At 43.9% G+C, this 20,799-nt stretch overlaps 1 protein-coding gene and 1 long non-coding RNA gene across 4 annotated transcripts in view; one reads left to right on the top strand and one right to left on the bottom strand.

The window, feature by feature from the left end:
• The window catches only part of LDLRAD3 (low density lipoprotein receptor class A domain containing 3), a 288,075-nt gene that overhangs the window by 150,288 nt on the left and 116,988 nt on the right, over positions 1 to 20,799 (bottom strand). For all 3 annotated transcript variants that reach the window (NM_174902.4, NM_001304264.2, NM_001304263.2), the window contains one exon: positions 71 to 196. In NM_174902.4, the coding sequence (NP_777562.1) occupies positions 71 to 196 (126 nt within the window). The remainder of the gene's footprint in view (positions 1 to 70; positions 197 to 20,799) is intronic.
• Positions 3,948 to 18,566, top strand: LOC101928510 (uncharacterized). Its single transcript, NR_135064.1, has 2 exons — positions 3,948 to 4,104; positions 14,588 to 18,566. It is a non-coding gene; the product is annotated as an uncharacterized LOC101928510 (long non-coding RNA).

The following is a 20,799-nucleotide window of genomic DNA, read 5'->3' as shown; positions in this document are numbered from 1 at the left end:
GACCAATGTGGACAAGTTTGGCTGGCGGGAAAGAACAAGGGATCACAGTGTTCAAGTGCGCAGCACTTACTGCAGTTCTCTTCATCGCTGCCATCGGGACAGTCCTCAAACCCATTGCACCGGAAGCGACCAATGATGCAATGGATGCCGCTGGCACAGGGGAAGAAGGTTGGGCCACATTTCGACTTAGCCTTGGCTGCAGGAAGAAAAAGAAACAGCAAGACATCAGGAGATGTTCTCAGATGACTGCATACTCATCCCACTAACACTGAATGTGAAAATGAGTCCACTTAAGATTCATCTTAAAGTCCTTGAAGCTTTCTTCTCATTACCACCACCCACCTCAAACACCCAGCCAGATTGGACACCCACACGCCACATTGTCTAGAGAGGAATGCTTCAAAAGTACCCAAGAGGATAACATAGCCCCTGCACCACAGCAGGTGCCAATCAAAATGTGCTGAACAAAGCCATGAACGAAGAACAGGTAAGTAAATGGATGACGAGTAGATGAAGGTGCTGAAGCACCAATCAAAATTCATTCCCTGAATGTCAAAGGAACTGTAATCAACATTCAGTAAGTATTCACCATACTAGGAAGTGTGCTGAGAGCTTTGTATGGATCATCTCATTTAATCCACCCAGCAATCACCCAATGGGATGATGGGCAGAAAAGAGGTAACAAAACAGAACCGCAACTGCTACGCTTACAAAGACCTCCTTGCAAGGTTGGCTCTTCCTTGGCTGGAGTCTGGGAACTTGGATTTTGGGAGACTTTGCACCACCCTACCTAACAAGAGTGGCTCACTGTACCTAAACTGTTTATGCAAACAGTACAACTTACACTGAACACCCCTGCTTTCCTTACTTCTGGGAGGCTATAATTTTGGTACATGCTGAACAGAGGGTGCCTACGTGATCAGCCCCTGATAAAAATTCTGGATACTGAGTCTCTAGTGAGTGTCCCTGGTGGATAACCTTCCACATATGTTGTTACATTACAACTCATTGCTAGGGGAATTAGTGCATCCTTTGGGCTCAACTGGGAGAGGACTCTTGGAAGCCTGAACCTGGTTTCCTCTGGACTTTATTCCATTCGTCTTTTACCTGTGTTGATTTTGCTTTGTATCCCTTTGCTGTAATTAATCACAGCCATGAGTATGATCATATACTGAGTCCTGTGAATCCTCCTGGCAAATCGCTGAATCTGGGGTGGTCTTGGGAGCCCCAAACAAATGAGTATGGTTCTTATCACCACTTCATAAATGCGCTTTGAGAGATGAAGTGACTTGCCCAAGGTCACACAGCTGGAAAATCAAGCACCGGGTGAGGCCCGGCATGCAGATTCCAGAAGCCCTGATTTCAACCAACTCAACAGCATTGCCTCTCTCTCTGCCAGAGGCTGTCACTTTTCACAACAGAAGGCAGACTCCTGCTCCAAATAAATTCTTCTTCCACTCATGCTGCACAAACAGTTTTAGCAGAAACTGCTGTAACTTGGGCTTAATTGAGTGTCCTGCTAAATAACAAACAGCCCTGTGGGGTAATGTACTCTCCCGTTAATGGTTCTGGTGCTCCGGCTTGCGATTAGGAGATGTAAGATGAGACCTATTGCTACATCCCAGGTAGCAGGCCCTATGTAGCATCCCTCTTGTCTTCTGTCTTAGAGGCAGGACCCATGGTCCTCCAAGAAGGAAGGGCCATTTCTTTGAAACAAACAGGCAATAAATTACCTCCATGTTCTTGCTGTCTGTAACATGCTGACTTTGGCAACAGCCAACTCACAATCATCAGGGTTTTAAGGCCTGAAATGTTCCAGGTTTCAAAAACCCATGTGGCTTTGTTTCACCTTGGAACTTCTGTCATGGTACTGGTGAACTCTTCTCAAAGCATAAACTCTGGACAGTCCTGGGTTCAAATTCCAACTCTATTTTTTATGACTTTGGACAAGTTTCTAAATTTTGGTGGACTTCAGTTTCCTTACTGTGGCATCCTGATAAGTAAGCAACAACAAGTAAGAGGGCCCAAGTCGGGGAGAACAATTGTTCCAAGAAATGGCTAATCACAAACCCACTGGCCCAACATCCTTTCATTAAATACCTCGTTCCACAAGTAGGCCCCTAGTCTAGCACGACCCTATAAAACTTTTCTCCAGCCCCTGTGGCTTTGCAGATAGCCCCTTCGCTGCTGTGCTGCCTCTTGCACCCATGCAACATATTTTTGTACTTTCGCTAACAAATCTGCCTTTCTTTACCTATGACTGTCTCGGTATTCTTTCACCACCCACAACATCAGCCCCAACCAGTTGTATCCACAGCACTTATCAGTAAATTGGAGGTGATATCTACTACCTTGGGCTCTAGCAAAGATTAAGTGAGATAATCTATACAAAACAGTATAGAGCATAGAATACAGTAGATGCTCAATTAATGGTAATGCTTATGCTATTTATCATCATCCTCATCCTCATCCTCATCCTCCTCATCATCACTAAGTTCATAGAATTTAAAAACTGATCCTTGGGCTGACAGAAATTTTTTTCTGATGACCAAAGTTTAGAAAGCTTATTATGAAAGGTCTCTATAAACTGGTATGAAGTGATTTCTAGGACATACTGATAAGTCAAAAAAGTAAAGTAGAAAAGAGTATCTATAGTACTGATGGCAGCAGTGGGCTGTTCAGAGTGGCCGCTGCCATCACACCAGCTGCAGTAAGGAAGCGTGAGCTGTGGCAGCAGGAGTGGCTGCAGGAGCAGCAGTGGCGGCAGTAGGTCCCCTGTGCCCTGCGTCCCTGAGGGAGCCAAAAACCCCACCCTCACACGGCCTGGTAGGATCCGCTCCCAGACCTGAAGCCTCTGCCACAGTCTTAACCTCGCTCTCCGCTGTATCCCAGGGGCCTGCGAGCACCCAGCTGATGGCACAGCTGGGACTTATGGGACTGGCCCTGGAAGCGTCAGGTTCATTTGTGTGGGGTTGACTGGGGCTGCCGTACCACCTGCACCTTGCCCGCCACCCTGGGAGCCACTGTGACAGGGCCAAGCTGAATCGTCCGCTGGTAGGGAAGCAGTGTGGTCGGTCATGGAGAGGCAGGCAGAGAGGGGCACTGAGGCAGAGCTGGGCCCAGGGCAGTGCCACACTCTACAGTGTCAGCAGAAGCATGGAGCAGGCAGGAGTCCCACCCTTCTGGGCATGGCTGCAGCCACCCAAATTGCAGCTGCAGATGCAGACATCTCTGCACTCCCTGGGCCCCCCTTACTCCCACAGGCTCAGAGGTGTCTGCTCCAGCTCCCTGGCCTCTCCCTGCTGTCAGCACCCACTCAGATCATGGAGCAAAGTTGAGGATGAGCCTGGGAACTATTGCAACCCAGCCGGATGTGTGCACGCTCAGGGCAGCACTGACACACAAGTCCCCTGCCACTTCAGCCGCCTCCGGACTTTGGGTGAAGACAAACATGGGAGGGAGACCAAGGGGGTGCTGAAGACAGCTTGGCACTGCCCTGCAGGTGCCCGTTGGTACAAACCTGGGCACCATGAAAGGCAGCAGGAGGCAGACATGCTCCTAGGCAGAAGGGGTAGGTCCCAGGTGAAGCCCAATCTTCAAGCCAGGGAAGGCCTGAGGCCTGAGGGCCAGGCTGTGGGTCCCGCAGACTGGAGTGGGAACTTTTCCAGGCCTGCCCATGGATTAATCAGCATGCACTTCCTCCCCTCTGAGGCTCATAAAAACTCCGGACTCAGCCAGACTTGAGGAGACAACAGGACAAGCTGCAGAGAGGAGCTACCCTCTCTGCTGAGAGCTGAACACTCATCAAGATACCCTGGCTACGGAGAGGAGCTGCCCACTGTGAGTCTCCTCTGAGCTGTTCTATTACTCAATAAAGTTCCCCTTTGTCTTGCTCACCCTCCACTTGTCTGCGTACCTCATTCTTCCCGGATGCAGGACAAGAACTAGGGACTCACTGAATGGCAAGGCTAAAAGAGCTATAACACAAACAGGGCTGAAACATGCTGTTTGCCCACCATGTCGCAGCAGACAAGAGGAGAGAAGAAGGAAGAGAAGAGCTGTGGCCCTTTGGGGAGCCCAGACCTAGGAGCAACCCCAAGCCAGGTTTGTGATACACTCTTTAGGGCTCTGTGGTTGCTGAAGTCTCCAAGGTTCTGGGCACCACACTGCATTCCCCAGTGTCAGCCATGGAAGCTGCTTAAGGTATGCCTGGTCCACCTGCAGCCTTGCAGGGAGCTGGCACCCATGCTGGTGCCTGGAGCTGCCTGCCCCACCACAGCTGGCATACCTGGCTGTGCAGTGGCTGAACTCCACGCTCGCTCACACAACCCTCACTGTTCTGCAACTGGCTTGCCCTTGGCAGGTATGGGATCTAGGCTGGTAGTGGGAGCCGAACGCAGCCTGCCAGGTCAAGTAGGCAGAGAAGCCCAGCAGGCCAGAGCAAAACTTGGGCAAAGGTGTCACTGGCCACAGAAATTTCCAGTTGGCAAAGTGATACCCCAAAGATCCCGTAACAGTACTTTGCTGCCCTCCATATAAGAAGAGAAGGGGTATAAGAAAACATACATGTATTGGCTTATCTGTGCAAAAGAAATACAGGAGGATAAACCAGAAACTAAAGAGATTGGTTATCTACAGGGTGTGAGTGGGAAAGGAGTGAAAAAACATGGGGAACTGATATCAGACAAGATAACAGGATGAGAAGGTTACACATTTCTCCGAGTATATCTATCTGACTTAACATATACTTGTGTAAATATACTCAGAGCAGTGTATATCTTAGAACTACGGTAGTATTTTATATACCCCAAAAATAAACACTTAAAATCAATCACATGTGGGGAAAACTCAAAATGAAATATAAACAATAACAAGTAAACATAACTGTATTACTAGTAAATAACACCACCACACTGAAGGGGATGGGGAAGAAAAGAACCAGCCTAAGTAACTCAGGAAAACAGTATGTTGACTAGATTCCATAAAGCTAAAGAAAAAAAAAATCTACAATACTGTACACTAGTTATATTTGTTTCTCCCAAGGGTATGGGTCATCAATTCTGAAACTGTCTTCTGGGTGCACTAGGGGTGAACAAATATGTAAATATATTGTAAGATTTCTGTCAGAGAAAGAAGTTGCAAATAAAGAAAGTGGGAAGGCTAGGCCAGGCGTATTGGCTGACGCCTGTAATCCCAGCACTTTGGGAGGCCGAGGTGGGTGGATCACAAGGTCAGGAGTTCAAGACCAGCCTGGCCAAGATGGTGAAACCTCGTCTCTACTACATATACAAAAAAATTAGCCGGGCGTGGTGGCGGGCACCTGTAGTCCCAGCCACTCAGGAGGCTGAGGCAGAGAACTGCTTGAACCCGGGAGGTGGAGGTTGCAGTGAGCTGAGATTGTGCCACTGCACTCCAGCCTGGGCGACAGAGAGAGACTCATCTCAAAAAAAAAAAGACAGTGAGAAGGCTAAAGTGAATCCTGAGGCTTTGGTTCATTGAAACTGAACCAAAATTTCCAATGGAAATTTGAAGGAATTGGAGGTCACCAGTATGAACTCAAGGTCTTTAAAAATTAGACAGACAGGATGGATGGATGGATGGATGGATGGATGGATGGATGGATGGACGGATGGACAGACAGACAAAAATAAATATTGACTTGTGTGTATGTAAGGGATAATGCACATACATACATTTCCTAGCTCTGTCTGCTGAGAGAAGACTAGAAGCAGTACATCTCAACAGCAATAAGCACACCTAGCACCCAGATCTTGGTTTCTAAATACCATTATCCAGCAAAGAGAACCAACCTCCTTGGAGAAATAGTTGATTCCAGGAAGAATATACAAACAAGATGAACCCAGAGTATCTTCTGTTGCCAGAAGTGTCAAAATAAAGTAAATAAGTGTCCAAATATCATGGGGGCATGTCAAAAGGACACAGAAGTTAACCTGAAGTTCCCAATAGCCAAAGCTAGAACCATCCAAGCAACAAAATCAACAACGGTATCAGATTATGACACAGAGAATAAAATAAATATCTGAGGCCAACAAAATAAGGATCTAGTACCTGAGACTGATACCAAAAATTGTTGAATAAGTAAGTAAAAAGGGGAGAAAGGAAAGTTCTTCCTTATTGAAGACTTCTCATTAATAAATGTAGAAGAGGTGCAGGAAACAGAAAGTCACCACGAAGCAGACACTATTGTAATAACTGTTACAGGCAAGATCTGGCAATGGATGCTAAAATTAGAAAATAAACACTTGAGGAGAAATAGGATATGCACAGTGTCAAAGTATCTTCCGCAATATGTTATTAATTACAAAGAGAAAAATAGTAACTTGACAGTGGAGAAACTTGGTAGATACCACCTCAGCCAAGGGACCATGGTCAACATCATCAGTAATGAGATACACCAACACTACAGTCCCTTCATATAAGATGCTGTGTCAGGGGTCCCCAAGCCCACACAGATTCAATGATTCACTAGGCTAACTCCCAGGACTTGGCATATAATCAAAGCTAAGATTTCTTACAGTGAAAGGCATATGAAATGAAGTCACAGGAAACCAGGCTCAAGCTTTCACAAGGATTCTTCCAGGGTAGACACACAGGATGTGCTTAATTCCTCCAGCAACAAGTTGTTGACAACATGTGTGAAATGTCATCCACCAGGGCAGCTCATTAGAGGCTCAGTGCTCACGGTTTTTATGAGAGGCTGGTCACACAGGCATTCTCGGTACACCAAATTTCCAGACTTCCAGCAGAAAAACAGCATCAACTACACTGTCTGCACAGCCAGTTTAGGCACAGTGAGCCACCATTAACAGTTGGGTAATGGGAAACCTACTGAAATTTAGGTTCCCAGCTGCCAGCCAAGGGCCAATGTTCCAAGCAGACTTTTCAAAGGGCAGCAGTCAGGCCTGCTGCGTTAATGCTTTTTCTGCACAGATGGGCATTTTAGCTTCTGCTGGGAAAGTCTACAGTAACAGAAAAGCAGAGGAGTTCCATTTTCCAGGGTCAGGTTTGCCCCTCTGCCAGCTCTCCAGCCATCGTGTCCTTCCAGACAGGTTCAAGCTTCTGACACACGGTCCTTGATCAGCCAGTCTGGTTCTGATCACCTTTTGAGGGATGAGGGAAGAATGCTTATAGGCTTTGCCATCTACGCTGAGAGTGTTTCCTCAAGCCTCAGCACATCACTCCTCTAGTAAGAACGTCACTGCCTTCCCATTACGTTAGAATAAAACCTAGAGTCATCATGCTGCTCTCCAATTCCAGGCTTTCTCATGAAGGCCATGAAGATCTTCCCATCTTGGAAATCTTAACTACACAGGCTTCCTTGTTCCTTCTCAAGCCCAGCCAGCATATTCCCACCTCAGGGCCTTTGCACTCTCTGTTCCCACTGCCTGGAATGTCTTTTTCCCAGGGCTCAGCATGGCTCACTCCTCCATCTTACTCAGTCTCTTGAATCATTGCACTATCTGCAGTAGAACCTACACTCCCACCCTTAGTCGCTCTAACCCTCAGCCTTCTTTTCTTTCCCTTCACAGGACACATCACTACTTGGTCTCCCCAGTTTTGTATTAAGCTGTTTGGCTAACGCCTCTGCCTTCCAGCCTCCAAGAACGTACGCTCATTTGCATACTTTCATTTACCATTTTTAAAGGAGCTGCACCATACAGTGCCTACACCATGTGCCTCATAAATATTTGCATAATGTCCAAATGAACCTATAAAAGGAAAGAGTGAGGCCGGAGAACATGGCTAGCATTTTCTGAATGCTTAATATGAGCTAAGCATTGCGCTCTGTTTCACAGATATCTTTTTCTTTAAGTTCTCACACACACAAAAAAAACATTTTACAGATAAGAAAACTGAGGTCCAGAAGTGAAGTAACTTGACACTGCTAATAAACAAAGTCAAGGTTCAAATCTTTCCCATGGCACAGCTGCTCTGCCGCCTCCTTAGATTTCTCTAAGGACCAGCCCAGCTCCAGAGGACTAGGTTTTATGGGAGAAAGAGAAAAGAGTGAAAATATGAATAATTATAAACGAATTAGCCATCATTCAATTAACCAGCTCTTTGGCCCTGCCCTTGCACCCTTTTCAGGAATTACTAATGAGACTTCCTGCCTGGTCAGCATGCTCAGTTGCTGTTTATGTCAGGGAAGCCTGTCCTGTTATGATTTACATTTGCATCATCACATGCCTGCAAAGCAGATCACAGGCAACCAGCCGAGTGCCTGGCAGGGGCAGAGAGAAGCCTATCCCAGACAACAGCTGTCAGCTGCTCCCTGCCTGCATGACTTGCTACAGGGCTGTGGGGAAGGGGGGTCCTGGGCAAGGCCCCGACTGTCCCTCTCTCACCCCCTATTTCCACAAAGGGGAGATTTCCTCGTAGAACTCAGCAGCGCCCGACAGAAGGTGAAAGACTGACCCTGCCTGTCTTTAAAGCAGCCCTGACAAAGGCAGACAGGGTGACTCTACTCCATTGAATACTTGAATTCACCACTTCTCAAGGATCTGGTCCACAAACTTTTCAAAGCGGCAGCTTTCATTAGCAGGAAGATGGGGACCAAGGGTCTCCTGTGAGTTGGGTTTATTTCCTGATCTAAGTCATGTCCCCACTTTTTAGAGCCTACTTCCCACAGTCCTGGAATTCACAGATCAGCAAAATAAAAAATAAAAAAAGTAGATGAGAGTGGAGGAAAGACTAATACAATTGCCAACTTTTTATTTTACACAAAGACTTACAAAAACACCAGCAATGAGCTCTACTTACTAATACCCTAAATAAACAGCTGCCTTAGCATCCGAAATACAGGAAGGCAAAGTCTCAGAGTAAAGAACTCTCCACCCTGAAAGGGTAGAAACTTTATAGCTACATGTTCACTAGATGTCCTTATTTTTCCCATTTCACCAGAAGCCAGTGACAACCAGGTCATAAATCAGAGACAGTCCTGGGACCCATATTTGGGGTCCACGTGAGAACTAGAGGGGGCCAGGAGGCATTCCAGTGTCTCCAGGTTGTGATATCCTAAGGACAAAGACTCGTGTAACAGCTGGGGCACACAGGCAGTCCACATAGGTGCACTCAGTAACTAATTCTCACGTTCCACAGATGACAAAACTGAGGCCCAAAGAGGCAACTGGACTTGCCCAAAGTCACATAGCTATTTAGGGTCAGACTGGTCTATAGTCCAGTTCTTCTGCTCTAGAGTCCAGCTTCTTTTAACTACACTACACTTTAGGCAGGGTACCCTAGAGCCATACCTGATCAAACCCCTCATCTGGGACAGGTACAGGAGAGACTCCCAAGAAAAAGCCCTTCTCCCACAGGAGCAGAACTGTCCAGGCCTTGTATAGAAGGCTCTTCCCCAGACATCATGCCTGTAGCTCCCAATCTGTCTGGGAAGGGCTCAGGGCTGCTCAAGGTCCTGGAGGATGATGGAAACTTCAGCATGGGCTTGCTGTCTCTGGCCACCTCCCCAGACTCTTCCCAGGCAGCAATCATACAAAAGAGCTGGACAGAGGCTGCAATGTGGAAGCCTCTCTGTTCCACCAGAACAGCCATGAAGTCAGCTAATCAGACCTGCTGCATCTCTCAGGCTATGGAAACAGCTCCTGCTGTAGCTGTGGGTCTCCAGGATCTCTCTTCTAGACCTCTGTGGTTGGCCAAATGAGCAACAGCTACTCACCTTCAACCCCTGCTCACCTCCCACTCCTGCCCCAGGATCCTGCCAGTATGTGGCTGAGAGAGCCCAACGAATGAGGAGCTGTTCCACAATATCACCACCCTTGCTTTTATAAACACAAGACATAGCTCACTGTGAAAAAGTCAAACCATGGAGGAACATACAAAGACAGATGTAAAATTTATAACAAATTGCCACCACGTGGGGAAGTATTCTGTGGACATTTTGGTAAACATGCTCTTACAGCATGGTCTCAAAAACTAGTGTGTGCAAATGGATTGCCCCAGGACCTTGTTAAAATGCAGTGGGTCTGGGGTGGAGCCTGGGATCCTGCATTCCTAACAAGCTCCCAGGCGATGCTGCTGGCTCCAGGTACCACACTTCCAATAGCAAAGGGCCACTGTCTTGTTCACTGTGTATCTCCAATGCCCAGAGAAGTGCCAGGCACACAGACTACTCAATAATTACTGACTGAATTAATAGGCAGAAATCCGAGCATGCAATTTTACTTAAATGCACCCTTAAAATATATGCTATCCTGAAACCTGTTTTTGCTACATAATATGTTGTGACATCTTTTCTTGTCAATAACTACTGGTACACATCATCATTTTTAATGGCTAAGGGTAACTTTACTGTGTCTATGTATCCATAAATCCCGTTACTGATGGACATTTGGGGTGTTTTCAATAAACAATGCACAGCCAGATACATATATTATTTTTCCCACTTGTATATTATCTCGTGAAAGTATAACTGCTAGGTCAAAGGACATGCATGCTTTACATTTTGGTATCCTTTTGACTGTTGACTGCCTCCTCCCTGAGGAACTGGTATTGTCTTCTGGCCACAGACAGCTATGAGAAAAGCCTCCAGCCTAGGATTGTCTGCGATGGGCTGATTCTCTCAAGTTGGCAATGACGCTCCTAGAAGCACAAAGGCTGAGATCATCCCATGGTTCCTCTGCATTTTTGTTAAGTTGCTCCTTAACTGCTGCTGCGCTCTATTATTCTCCATCCATCTCTGTCTCTTTTCATTTTAACATCTGTGTATTTCATTATTCTGCAAAGTAGGGGACACTCCTGTCTGGTCAAGGAAACCATGACTCTTCTTTTTATCATTCTAAATTTGCACCGGGTACAGGGCATCGATCTTTGCTGGAATTGGTTTCTCTGGGTTGCAGGAATCATGGCAAAATGCAGCATCCTCCTTCTGTGAGATGCTCCTTGAGTTGACTTTCCTGGGCTACATGGTCTCCTTTGACTAAGGACCTTGACAAAGGGCAAGGGCAGGCTCTCGCTCTTAGGACTGTCCTACTTGCCAGTATTTCTCCAGAATTCCCCATCCTCTGGGGCAGTGTTGCAGAGAACAAGTCAGTGATCCACCTGCAGCAGGATCCCCAGGGACGCTTGTGAATATGCAGATTCCTGAGTCTCTCCCCTAGGGGAATCTGCATTTTTACTAAGCACACTAAGGATCTCAATGGGCACTAAAATGTGAACATCCTGCTCTGACCGATTCTACCACCTTCTTATACCCACAGAGCAAATGGCCTCATGATTCCTTTCTTCCTGATGTTATTGCCGCTCCAAGAATCATGGCTACACAGCCAATGAGGGACCTACTCTGGCCATGACTCCTTCAAGCCAAGTCTAATACACCCCAGATAGAGGAGTTACCATGAGATAAATATCCACAAGGAAACAACTGGCCTCTTTATGATCTTTCCCCATTTCAACACTGCTCTCTTCTTCCCCATTTGTGTGCAAGATACAAATTCTGCTTCACACACAAAAGCTGTGGGCTCATATACAAACGGTTTTTGTTCAAGCAAAAAGGCCCTTTTTAGAGCTTTGAAACTTACTCAGTTCTGTCTACTTTGTAAGGATTTACATTTACCTGTGCCCAACAGAAAATAGGATTAAAGAGGCAATAAAGAATCTGCCCCTGTTTGGCCAATATCAAAATATTCCTAAGCATTCTATTACCTGTCTGGTGCTGAGTCAGTTGTGTGGGGATTCAAAAGCGAAGCTGACAGGCTCTCTCTGTGATAGTGGAAGACAGAGACAGGTAAAGGAGCCTCTGCATGTAATGCAAATAGTGCCCTGATTGGGGAGCTATAGGATGCTTAATCTCAAACTAGGAACGAGGCTGGCATCAGAACAGGCTTCTCAGGGGAAGGTCGGTTTCAGCTGAGGTCGGCCACGGTCTAGGCGGAAAAGCAATGTAATATTTACAGCATGAGGCCTTACTCATTCCGTTTTTCATTCCACTAATATTAATTCACAAACTCTGTGTCGCACCTGCAAAGAATGAGAATACATAGAAGACACCTAGGCCACATTTGAAATTTTAGTGTTTGTGGAATTGTGGAATCAAAGATGTTCCAAGCCGCCTGTGTAAAGGCCTGGAGGCAGAACAATGTGGTAAAGGAGCAACTGAAAGGAGGTCAGTATGAACAAGCTTCTCATATACGCAAAAGTACCTGGCATCTTTTCATTAATTAAAAAAAAAAAAGCCCTATTTCTCATAAAAAAATGTGCTATGAACCAGTTACAATTCAGCTCACTGTAAAGATGTGAGAATGACAAGGGCTAATCAAAAGTATATGTTAGAAAAGAATCAAAGTATAAAATTCACATAATTTGAATCAACATGCACAGCTCCCCAAAGTGAAAACCGACATGTGGCCATTGCTAGCTAAAAACTGCAAAAAGCGGTCGATCTGATGTTGCTGCTATTAATATATTCAGTCCTCTAGCTCATTTGGTAAAAGGTCAAACTGTGGTTCCTTTGAAAATGACTTCATGGTTGGGGACAAGAAAGCAAAGAAGGCCTTGTAAAAATAACTGACTTCTAAAAAGTAATCTGCCTGGATTCTCCAGGAAATCTGGGGGCTAAACGGGGGAGCTCCTTTATTGTGGTCCCAAGGCAGATGACAAACAGCCCAGAAAGCAAACTCACTCCTGGAATTCTAGCCTTTGCAAAATTTATGGCTTGAGCAAAAAGTCCTTTGCTTGTTGCAACAGTTCAGCTCCACATGACTACTGGAGTAGACTCCAAGTTTTATTGATCAGATATTGCAATGTATTATTTCTTCCTAAAATAACATATTGGCTGTTTCAGACGTACACACTGGGGAGTGAAAGAGCAACAGACCATACGCTAACTGGAATATAAATACAGAAAGAAGGCATCCAGTTGAAACAGCTTTGCCACAAGATTCTCTCGTAGAAAATTCTTTCCAAAACTCTTCTCTTTTATGCTGAGAAGAGGAGGTCTACAGCCTAGGGTTAAGAGGTCAGAAGGACTCAGAGATAAGAAGCATCTAGGTTTCTGGGCTGGGCGCGGTGGCTCACGCCTGTAATCCCAGCACTTGGGGAGGCTGAGGTGGGTGGATCACGAGATCAGGAGATCGAGACCATCCTGGCTAACACGGTGAAACCCCATCTCTACTAAAAATACAAAAAATTAGCCAGGTGTGGTGGCACATGCCTGTAGTCCCAGCTACTCGGGAGGTTGAGGCAGGAGAATCGCTTGAACCCAAGAGGCGGTGATTGCAGTGAGCTGAGATTGCGCCACTGCACTCCAGCCTGGGTGACAGAGTGAGACTCTGTCAAAAAGAAAAGAAAAGAAGCATCCAGGTTTCCACCTCAGTTCCACCACGTAATCACTGAGATCTTGGATGAATCACTTAACTTCCCTCAGCCTCAGCGTCCCCATCTGTAAAAGGAAGATAAAGATGGTATAGAACTCCCAAGCTGTTGTGAAAATAAAATGAGATTTTGCATGTAGAGAATACAGCAAAATGCTTGCTATCTGGTAGAGATTCAGTAATGCCCTCCCTTCCCTAACATAGTTCATGGTTCTACAAATTGCTTTACACATAGACGGCTAGTCCTGAGAAAAATGAGGTGGAAATCAATGTAATGTTTAGACAGTCTAAGGCTTTGCTCTTTCAGTTATTCATTCCACCAACATTAATTCTCAAACTCACTTTATGCCACACACAGAACCAAGTGTGGGGGCTGCAAGAATGATTCCTGCTAGCAAGAGGCCCTTAGCTAAAAAAAACACCTGGCCAAGAGAAAGAGAACGAAAAAGAGACAATAAGCAGATGATTGCAATGAGATGTGGTAAGCACAACAGAAGCTGTATCAACATTTGCCTTTCAACAGTTAATTATGGCTAGCTGTGGTGGCTCTCACATGTAATCTCAGCACTTTGGGAGGCCAAGACGAGTGGATTGCTTGAACTCAGAGTTCAAGACCAGCCTGAGCAACATGGTGAAACCTTATCTCTACAAAAAAAATACAAAAAAAAATTTAGCCAGGCACACGCCTGTAGTCCTAGCTATTCTGGAGGCTGGGGTGGGAGGATCGCTTCAGCCCAGGAGGCAGAGGCTGCAGTGAGCTGAGATTACACCAATGCACTCTAGCGTGGGTGACAGAGCAAGATCCTGTCTCAAAAAAAAGTTAATTACAGCAGTTAAGCAGTTAGATGTCAGCCTGCCTGGGTTTAAATGTTGTGTCTACCACTTATTGGCCATATGATTTATGGTAAGTTGGTTACCCACTCTGTGCCTCAATTTCCTTATCAGGAAATAGAGAGATGAACACTACCAACCTTGCTCAGTTGTTGAGGGGATTAAATAAGACAATGTAATAATTACTTGGCACTTTTTCTGGAACAAAGTATTAGCTATGATAGTTAATACTATATTTGCTATCGTTTTATACATTACATCTTATTATTTGATATTACACTATAAAATATAGTATTATAAAATATAAAATGTAGTGTTATGTAGTATTGAGTGTTACAGATTATCCAGCATTATTATACAGTATTAGCTATTATTACTATTCCCATTTATTATTATTATCATTTCAGACACTTTCTGCCCAGCAGTGGATGCTTAATTAATACGTGGGGAATGGCCAGAATGCAAAAGGAACTCAGAAAGAGTGGGACCCACTCAGCCTGGGGAAGCCAAGGAGTACTTCATAAACCTGTGCTATTTTAGTTGGGTATGAAAGATTATTAGGAGTGTGTTAGTGAAAAAAAAGAGGGAAGGACACTCCAGACAAGAGGAATGGCATGAACTGAAGCTCAGAGTTGAAACAGGTTATGGCTTGTACAGAAATCTGGGAGAAGTTAGGACACCTGGGACATGGGCTATGCGGCAGGAGATGCGTCTGGGAGCGAGGCAGACAGGAGTCTGGAATTATCCTGGAAGCCAACAGACATCTTTCTAAAGGAAAGTGATGAGTCAGATTTGTTTTTTCTGAAGAAACTTTTTATATGAACTCACAAAGATATCATGAGGCTATTGAAAGTCAAGGAAATCTCCTCATCCCCCCAACAGCCCTGAGGGAGCAGAAGAGAGACAAGCCCATAATATTCTTCGTACTTTTAGAAAGAAAGACACTATAAACCATAACAGAATTCAAAGTGGCTATCATCGACCTTTAAAGTACTTTTATTACGAAGAATGACGAGGAAAAAAAAGGCAAAATTTCCACCAAGCAAGTTTGGGATTAGGAAATTATAATGTAAAGGGGTTTTTAAAGGTTATTTATTTTGGCTATTTGTAATGCACACACATATGTGGATAAAGAGGTTTTTGTGTGCATATACATTGGAATGAAAATTCTAGAGAATTTATAAGCAGGAAACTAAGATATTCCCAACCGCTGCTTCTACAGACAAATCTTGAGGGGTGAGGAAAGATCTAAAAAGATAATAAATAAATGTGGGTTAGGTAACTGAGCCTCTGGAGGCTTTTCACTACTTGGTGGAAAAACTTCCTGACAGTGGATCCAAGTCCCTGGGATTAAGACCAGATGTGAGCACAGAGATTCAGGGAGAACAGAATAGTTTCCACCTAAAAAAAGAGTCTTTCAGTAAAGGTATCATCCAACTGCATGAAAGGTGATATCTAAGGGATGACTCCTAACAAGCAGTAGAAAAAAGTAAGAAAAAAAAAAAAAAGAAAATGAGTGAAGAGTGTAAGAATCACAGACAGTTTTCAAGTCTGAATGAACTCAGAGAGGACTCCATTCTAGACCCTTTTCCATCTCACTTAGGCAAGGAGGGTTATCTTTGCCAAAAGAAGAAGGGTTTACTTTTCAGAGCCTCCACCCTCTCCCATCCCCTTGGCTCCTAGCAAACCTTGAGGTTTTCCTTCTTCAAACATCCTCGCTTCCGTGGCATATTCTTTGCCTTCGGACTCCAAAGAGGAAGCTCATTTCTGATGAGCTCTCTAGAGGCATCTCTGAAAGGTTTTCTTGGCCCTCCCCACATGATCCACATAAACAGCAGAACCCTAAAACTCAGGTTTTGTCTCAAAACACCTGCAAAGGGCAGATATAAAGGCCTACAATGTGAAGATAAGCCACTGTAACACCCACGGGAACTGAAGACTTCCATTCAGATACATCAGAGGTGAGTGTGTCAACAGGGCAGAGAGGGAGGGAGGCTCCTTCAGGCTGTTCCCACAGCCTGCACAAGAAAACATTCTCTGTGTCATGATGTAACTTGAAAACAACTCTTTAGGGAAAATAGTACGTTAGTGCACCACAAGTCTTGCTCTAGGAAAGGTTTCACCAAGGCATCCTGAAATTTCTATAATGCCTTCTACATCAGTCACAGGAATCAGAAAATCCCATGGCTATCATCTCTTGGTAGCTATGAGCTAACTTTAACAACAAAATACTGATCCTCAGCTTCTAACTTATCCAAAAAAGCAGTGCCTTCAATCCTGGCTGCATATTAGAATAGCCTGGGAGGCTTAAAAAAATATTTGAAATCAGGAGAGTATAAGTGGCTATACTAATATCAGACAAAATCGAATTTAAGACAAAAAAAAGTTCAGTTCCTAGAGTCAAAGTAGAACTTTTATGATAAAATAGCCAATGTCTTCTATCAGGAAGACATAATTACATGTACTTAAAAACAGAGCCCCAAGATTCTTGAAGCAAAAACTGACAGAATTAAAGGAAGAAATAGTCAGTTAAACAATGATAGTTAGAAACTTCAGTACTCCATCTTCAATAATGGATAGAATAACTAGGCTGAAGATCAACAAGAAAACAGAAGGCATGAACACCACCACAAAGTGGACCTAATAGAAGTCTACAGGACATGCTACCCAACAACCACAGAACACATTCTTCCCAAGCATACATGAAACATTCTCCAGGACAGACCAAATGTTAGGACATAAAACAAACCTCAATACAGTTAAAAGGAATGCAATCATATAACATATGTTCTCCAACCAAAATGGAATGAAATTAGAAATCAACAACAGAAGGAAATTTGTGAAACTCACAAGTATGTGGAAATTAACACACTCCTAAATAACCAATGGGTCGGAAGATCAAAAATAAAATTAAAAAATAATTTGAGATGAATGAAAACAAAAGCACAATATACCAAAACAAGGCTGAGAGTGAAAGTTATAGCTGTAAATGCCTACATTAGAAAACAAGAACGATTTCAAACTCATACACAAAAAAACTATTAGAACTAGCCAAGAGTGGTAGCTCATGCCTGTAATCCCAGCACTTTGGGAGGCTAAGAAGGGCAGATCACTTGAGCCCAGGAGCTGGAGACCAGCCTGGGCAACATGGCAAAACCCCATCTCTACAAAAAAAAAAAAAAAAAAAAATTAATTAGCCAGGTGTGGTGGCCTGCACCTGTAGTCCAGCTATTTGGGAGGCTGAGGCAGGAGTATCACTTGAGCCTGGGAGGTCAAGGCTGCAGTGAGCTGTGATCACACCACTGCACTCCTGCACTCTAGCCTGGGCAACAGAGTGAGATCCTGTCTCAAAAATTTTTTAAAAAAAACTATTAGAACTAACGAACAAGTTTAGCAAGGTTGCAGGAGACAAGGTGGATACACCAAAATCAATTGTATTTGTATACACTAGCAATCAGCAATCCAAAAATGAAATTATGAAAACAATTCCATTTCCAATAGTATCAAAAATAATAAAATACTTAGGAATAATTTTAACAAAAGAAGTGTAAGACTTGTACACTGAAAACTACAACACATCACTGAAATAAAGAAGACCTAAGTAAACAGAAAGCCAAACCATGTTCAAAAATTGAAAGACTTAAAATTGGGTAAGATGGCAATACTCCCCAAATTGATCCACAGAGTCTATGGAACCCTTATACTAAAATCTCAGCTAGCTTCTTGGCAGAATGGACAAGCTGATCATAAATTCATATGGAGATTCAAGGGACTCTGAATAGCCAAAACCATATTGAAAAAGAAGAACAAAATTAGAGGACTAACAGTTCTCAATTTAAAAATGTACTACACAAAGCTAGAGTAATTAAGACACTGTGGTTATTGGCATAAGGGTACACATATGGATCAATAAAATAAAATTGAGTGTCTAGAAACAAACCTTTACTTTTCTAGTCAATTGATTTTTGACAAGAGTGCCAAGAAAATTCACTGGATAGTCTTTTCAACAAATGGCTGAAACAACTGGAAATTCACATATAAAAGAACGAAACTGGACTCCTATATTCCATATAATGGAATGAAGTACTGATACATGATACAACACAGATGAACCTTGAAAACATTATTCTAAGTCAAAGAAGCTAGACACAAAAGGCCACATACTGTATGATTCCATTATATGAAATGTCCAGAATAGGCAAATCTGTAGAGACAAAAAGTGGATTAGTGGTTCCCAGGGACTAAGAGAGGGAAGAATGGGGAATGACTGCTAATGGGTACATGGTTTCTTCCTGGGGTGATTAAAATGTTCTAAAATTAGATAGTCGCAATAAATTGCACAGCTCTCTGAACATAACCAAATAAAGAACAAAACTTTCTGGTAAATCCTGAGATCTAAGAAGACTGGTGACATCAGAAATGAAAGAGTTGCTTTTTTCCAGGAAAGTCCTAATTAGCCAATTCCTCCCCAGGCAAAGTTAGGCAATACTGGGGGATGTAGTGGGGTGGGTGTGGATAACCCTTCTGGTCTTAAGTTTGAAGTTTACATTTGTTTTATTTCAGTTCCTTCCTCAGGGAAGGACTTTCAGGCCTCTCAAAAAAGTATCAAAGAGCTGAAACTCACCAGATCACCACATCCAGACAATGAAATGCAGAGACTCTCTATTCATCATAATCGTTTCCTTGCCCTTTCCCAGTTCCTGTTTTCTTACACATTGTTACATTTCTTCCCTGCTATACAAAGCTAGTTTTAGTGGGTCAACGTATTAGTCCCTTCTAATAAAGATACACCTAAAGACATACCCAAGACTGGGTAATTTATAAAGGAAAGAGGTTTAATTGACTCACAGTTCAGCATGGCTGGGGAGGCCTCAGGAAACTTACAATCGTGGTGGAAGGGTAAGCAAACACGTGCTTCTTCACATGGCGGCAGCGAGAAGTGCCAAGCAAATGGGGGAAAAGCCCCTTATAAAACCATCAGATTTCATGAGAACTCACTCACTGTCATGAGAACAGCATGAAGGTAACCACCCCCATGATTAAATTACTTCCCACCAGGTCCCTCCCATGACGTGGGGATTATGGGAACTACAATTCAAGATGAGATTTGGGTGGGGACACAGCCAAACCATGTCAGTCAGGGAGATGGATTTGAGACTGACTGAGCTCCCATCTCCTAAGCTGCAGCACCTAATTAAAGGCTTCTTCCTTGGCAATAATCGTCGTGTCAGTGATTGGCTTTCTGTGTGTCGAGTAACAGGACCTAGACCGAACCCCTGGTGTTTCAGTAACAAAAAGAAAGACTTACCTGGCCCCAAAATGTCAATACTTTTGAGGTTGAAGAACCAACCCTGTACTAGGGAAAGGTCAATACTCTTGGATTTTTTGCCTTTTCAGATTTACAGAAACTTTATATTCTATATCATATGGGCTATAGCCCATATTAATGGTTAAGACTATAAAGTTATTTTTATCATAGAAATCAAACAGACATGGATTCAAATCCTGGATCTACACCTTACCAGAACCGTGACCTTGGACAAGTTACCTAACTGCCCTGGGCTTTTCCTCTCTCATCTGTAAAATGGGAGATGAAACTGACCTTACAGAGTAGCTGGGAGGATTAAATGAGAAGATGCCTGTCTAAGGCTAAGAGTTTTTATTACTATAACTACTGTTTTTTTTTTTTTAAGTTCCCAAAGTGGCTTGGTATCAGAAAATGGGTGACTGGGTCACCTAAAAATAGGGCTATTTTATCCAGTAACAATTAATATGCAAACTGGCAATTTTATGAGCTAATAAGCAATTGAAACATACAGTTGATATTCCTCACTACTACATTATAATCTAGCTAAAGAGAGACTTACCAAAGACCCAGTTGCCATAGTAATAAAAGTTTCTGTGGGTCTTACTGATAAATGCTTTCCATTTTCCAGGCTGAGCTTTATGCACAAGCCCCCTGTGGTCGAGTCTTTTCTACTTACTAAACCTATTATCTTTCTGCTGCTCAAAAACCAATTTATTATAGTGAAAAGAGCCGCCCAAAACAGGGCATGATGACAGCCTATCATTTATTGTGGGTTTTTGTAATGGAGCTCCCCAGTTAGTAGTATCAATTAGCAGCTCAATAAGACATGCAGCTGCTGCTTAGCAGCTCAGTAAGACATATTAAACCACCTTCTATCACCTCCACTATGCCAGGTACCAGCACAAGATTGCTTCATGCTTGGCCAGGCACAGTGGCTCACACCTGTAATCCCAGCGCTTTGGGAGGCCAAGGCAGGCAGATCACTTGAGGTCAGAAGTTCGAGACCAGCCTGACCAACATGGTGAAACCCCGTCTCTACTAAAAAAATACAAAAATTAGCCAGACGTAGTGCCACGTGCCTGCAGTCCCAGCTACTCAGGAGGCTGAGGCAGAAGAATCACTGGAACTCAGCAGGCGGAGGTTGCAGTGAGCCGAGATTGCACCACTGCATCACAGCCTGGGCAACAGAGCGAGACTCTGTCTCAGGGGAAAAAAAAAGATTTCCTCATCTTTACCGTAAATGAGGAAGAGGAAGAAGACACTCTTACTAAATGTTTATTGTGTGTTCTGGGCTTTCGTGGACTTTACCCC

This window comes from Homo sapiens, chromosome 11, assembly GCF_000001405.40.
Source record: "Homo sapiens chromosome 11, GRCh38.p14 Primary Assembly".
In the NCBI taxonomy this organism is placed as follows: Eukaryota; Metazoa; Chordata; class Mammalia; order Primates; family Hominidae; genus Homo; species Homo sapiens.
This window is presented reverse-complemented; position numbering and strand designations above follow the sequence as displayed.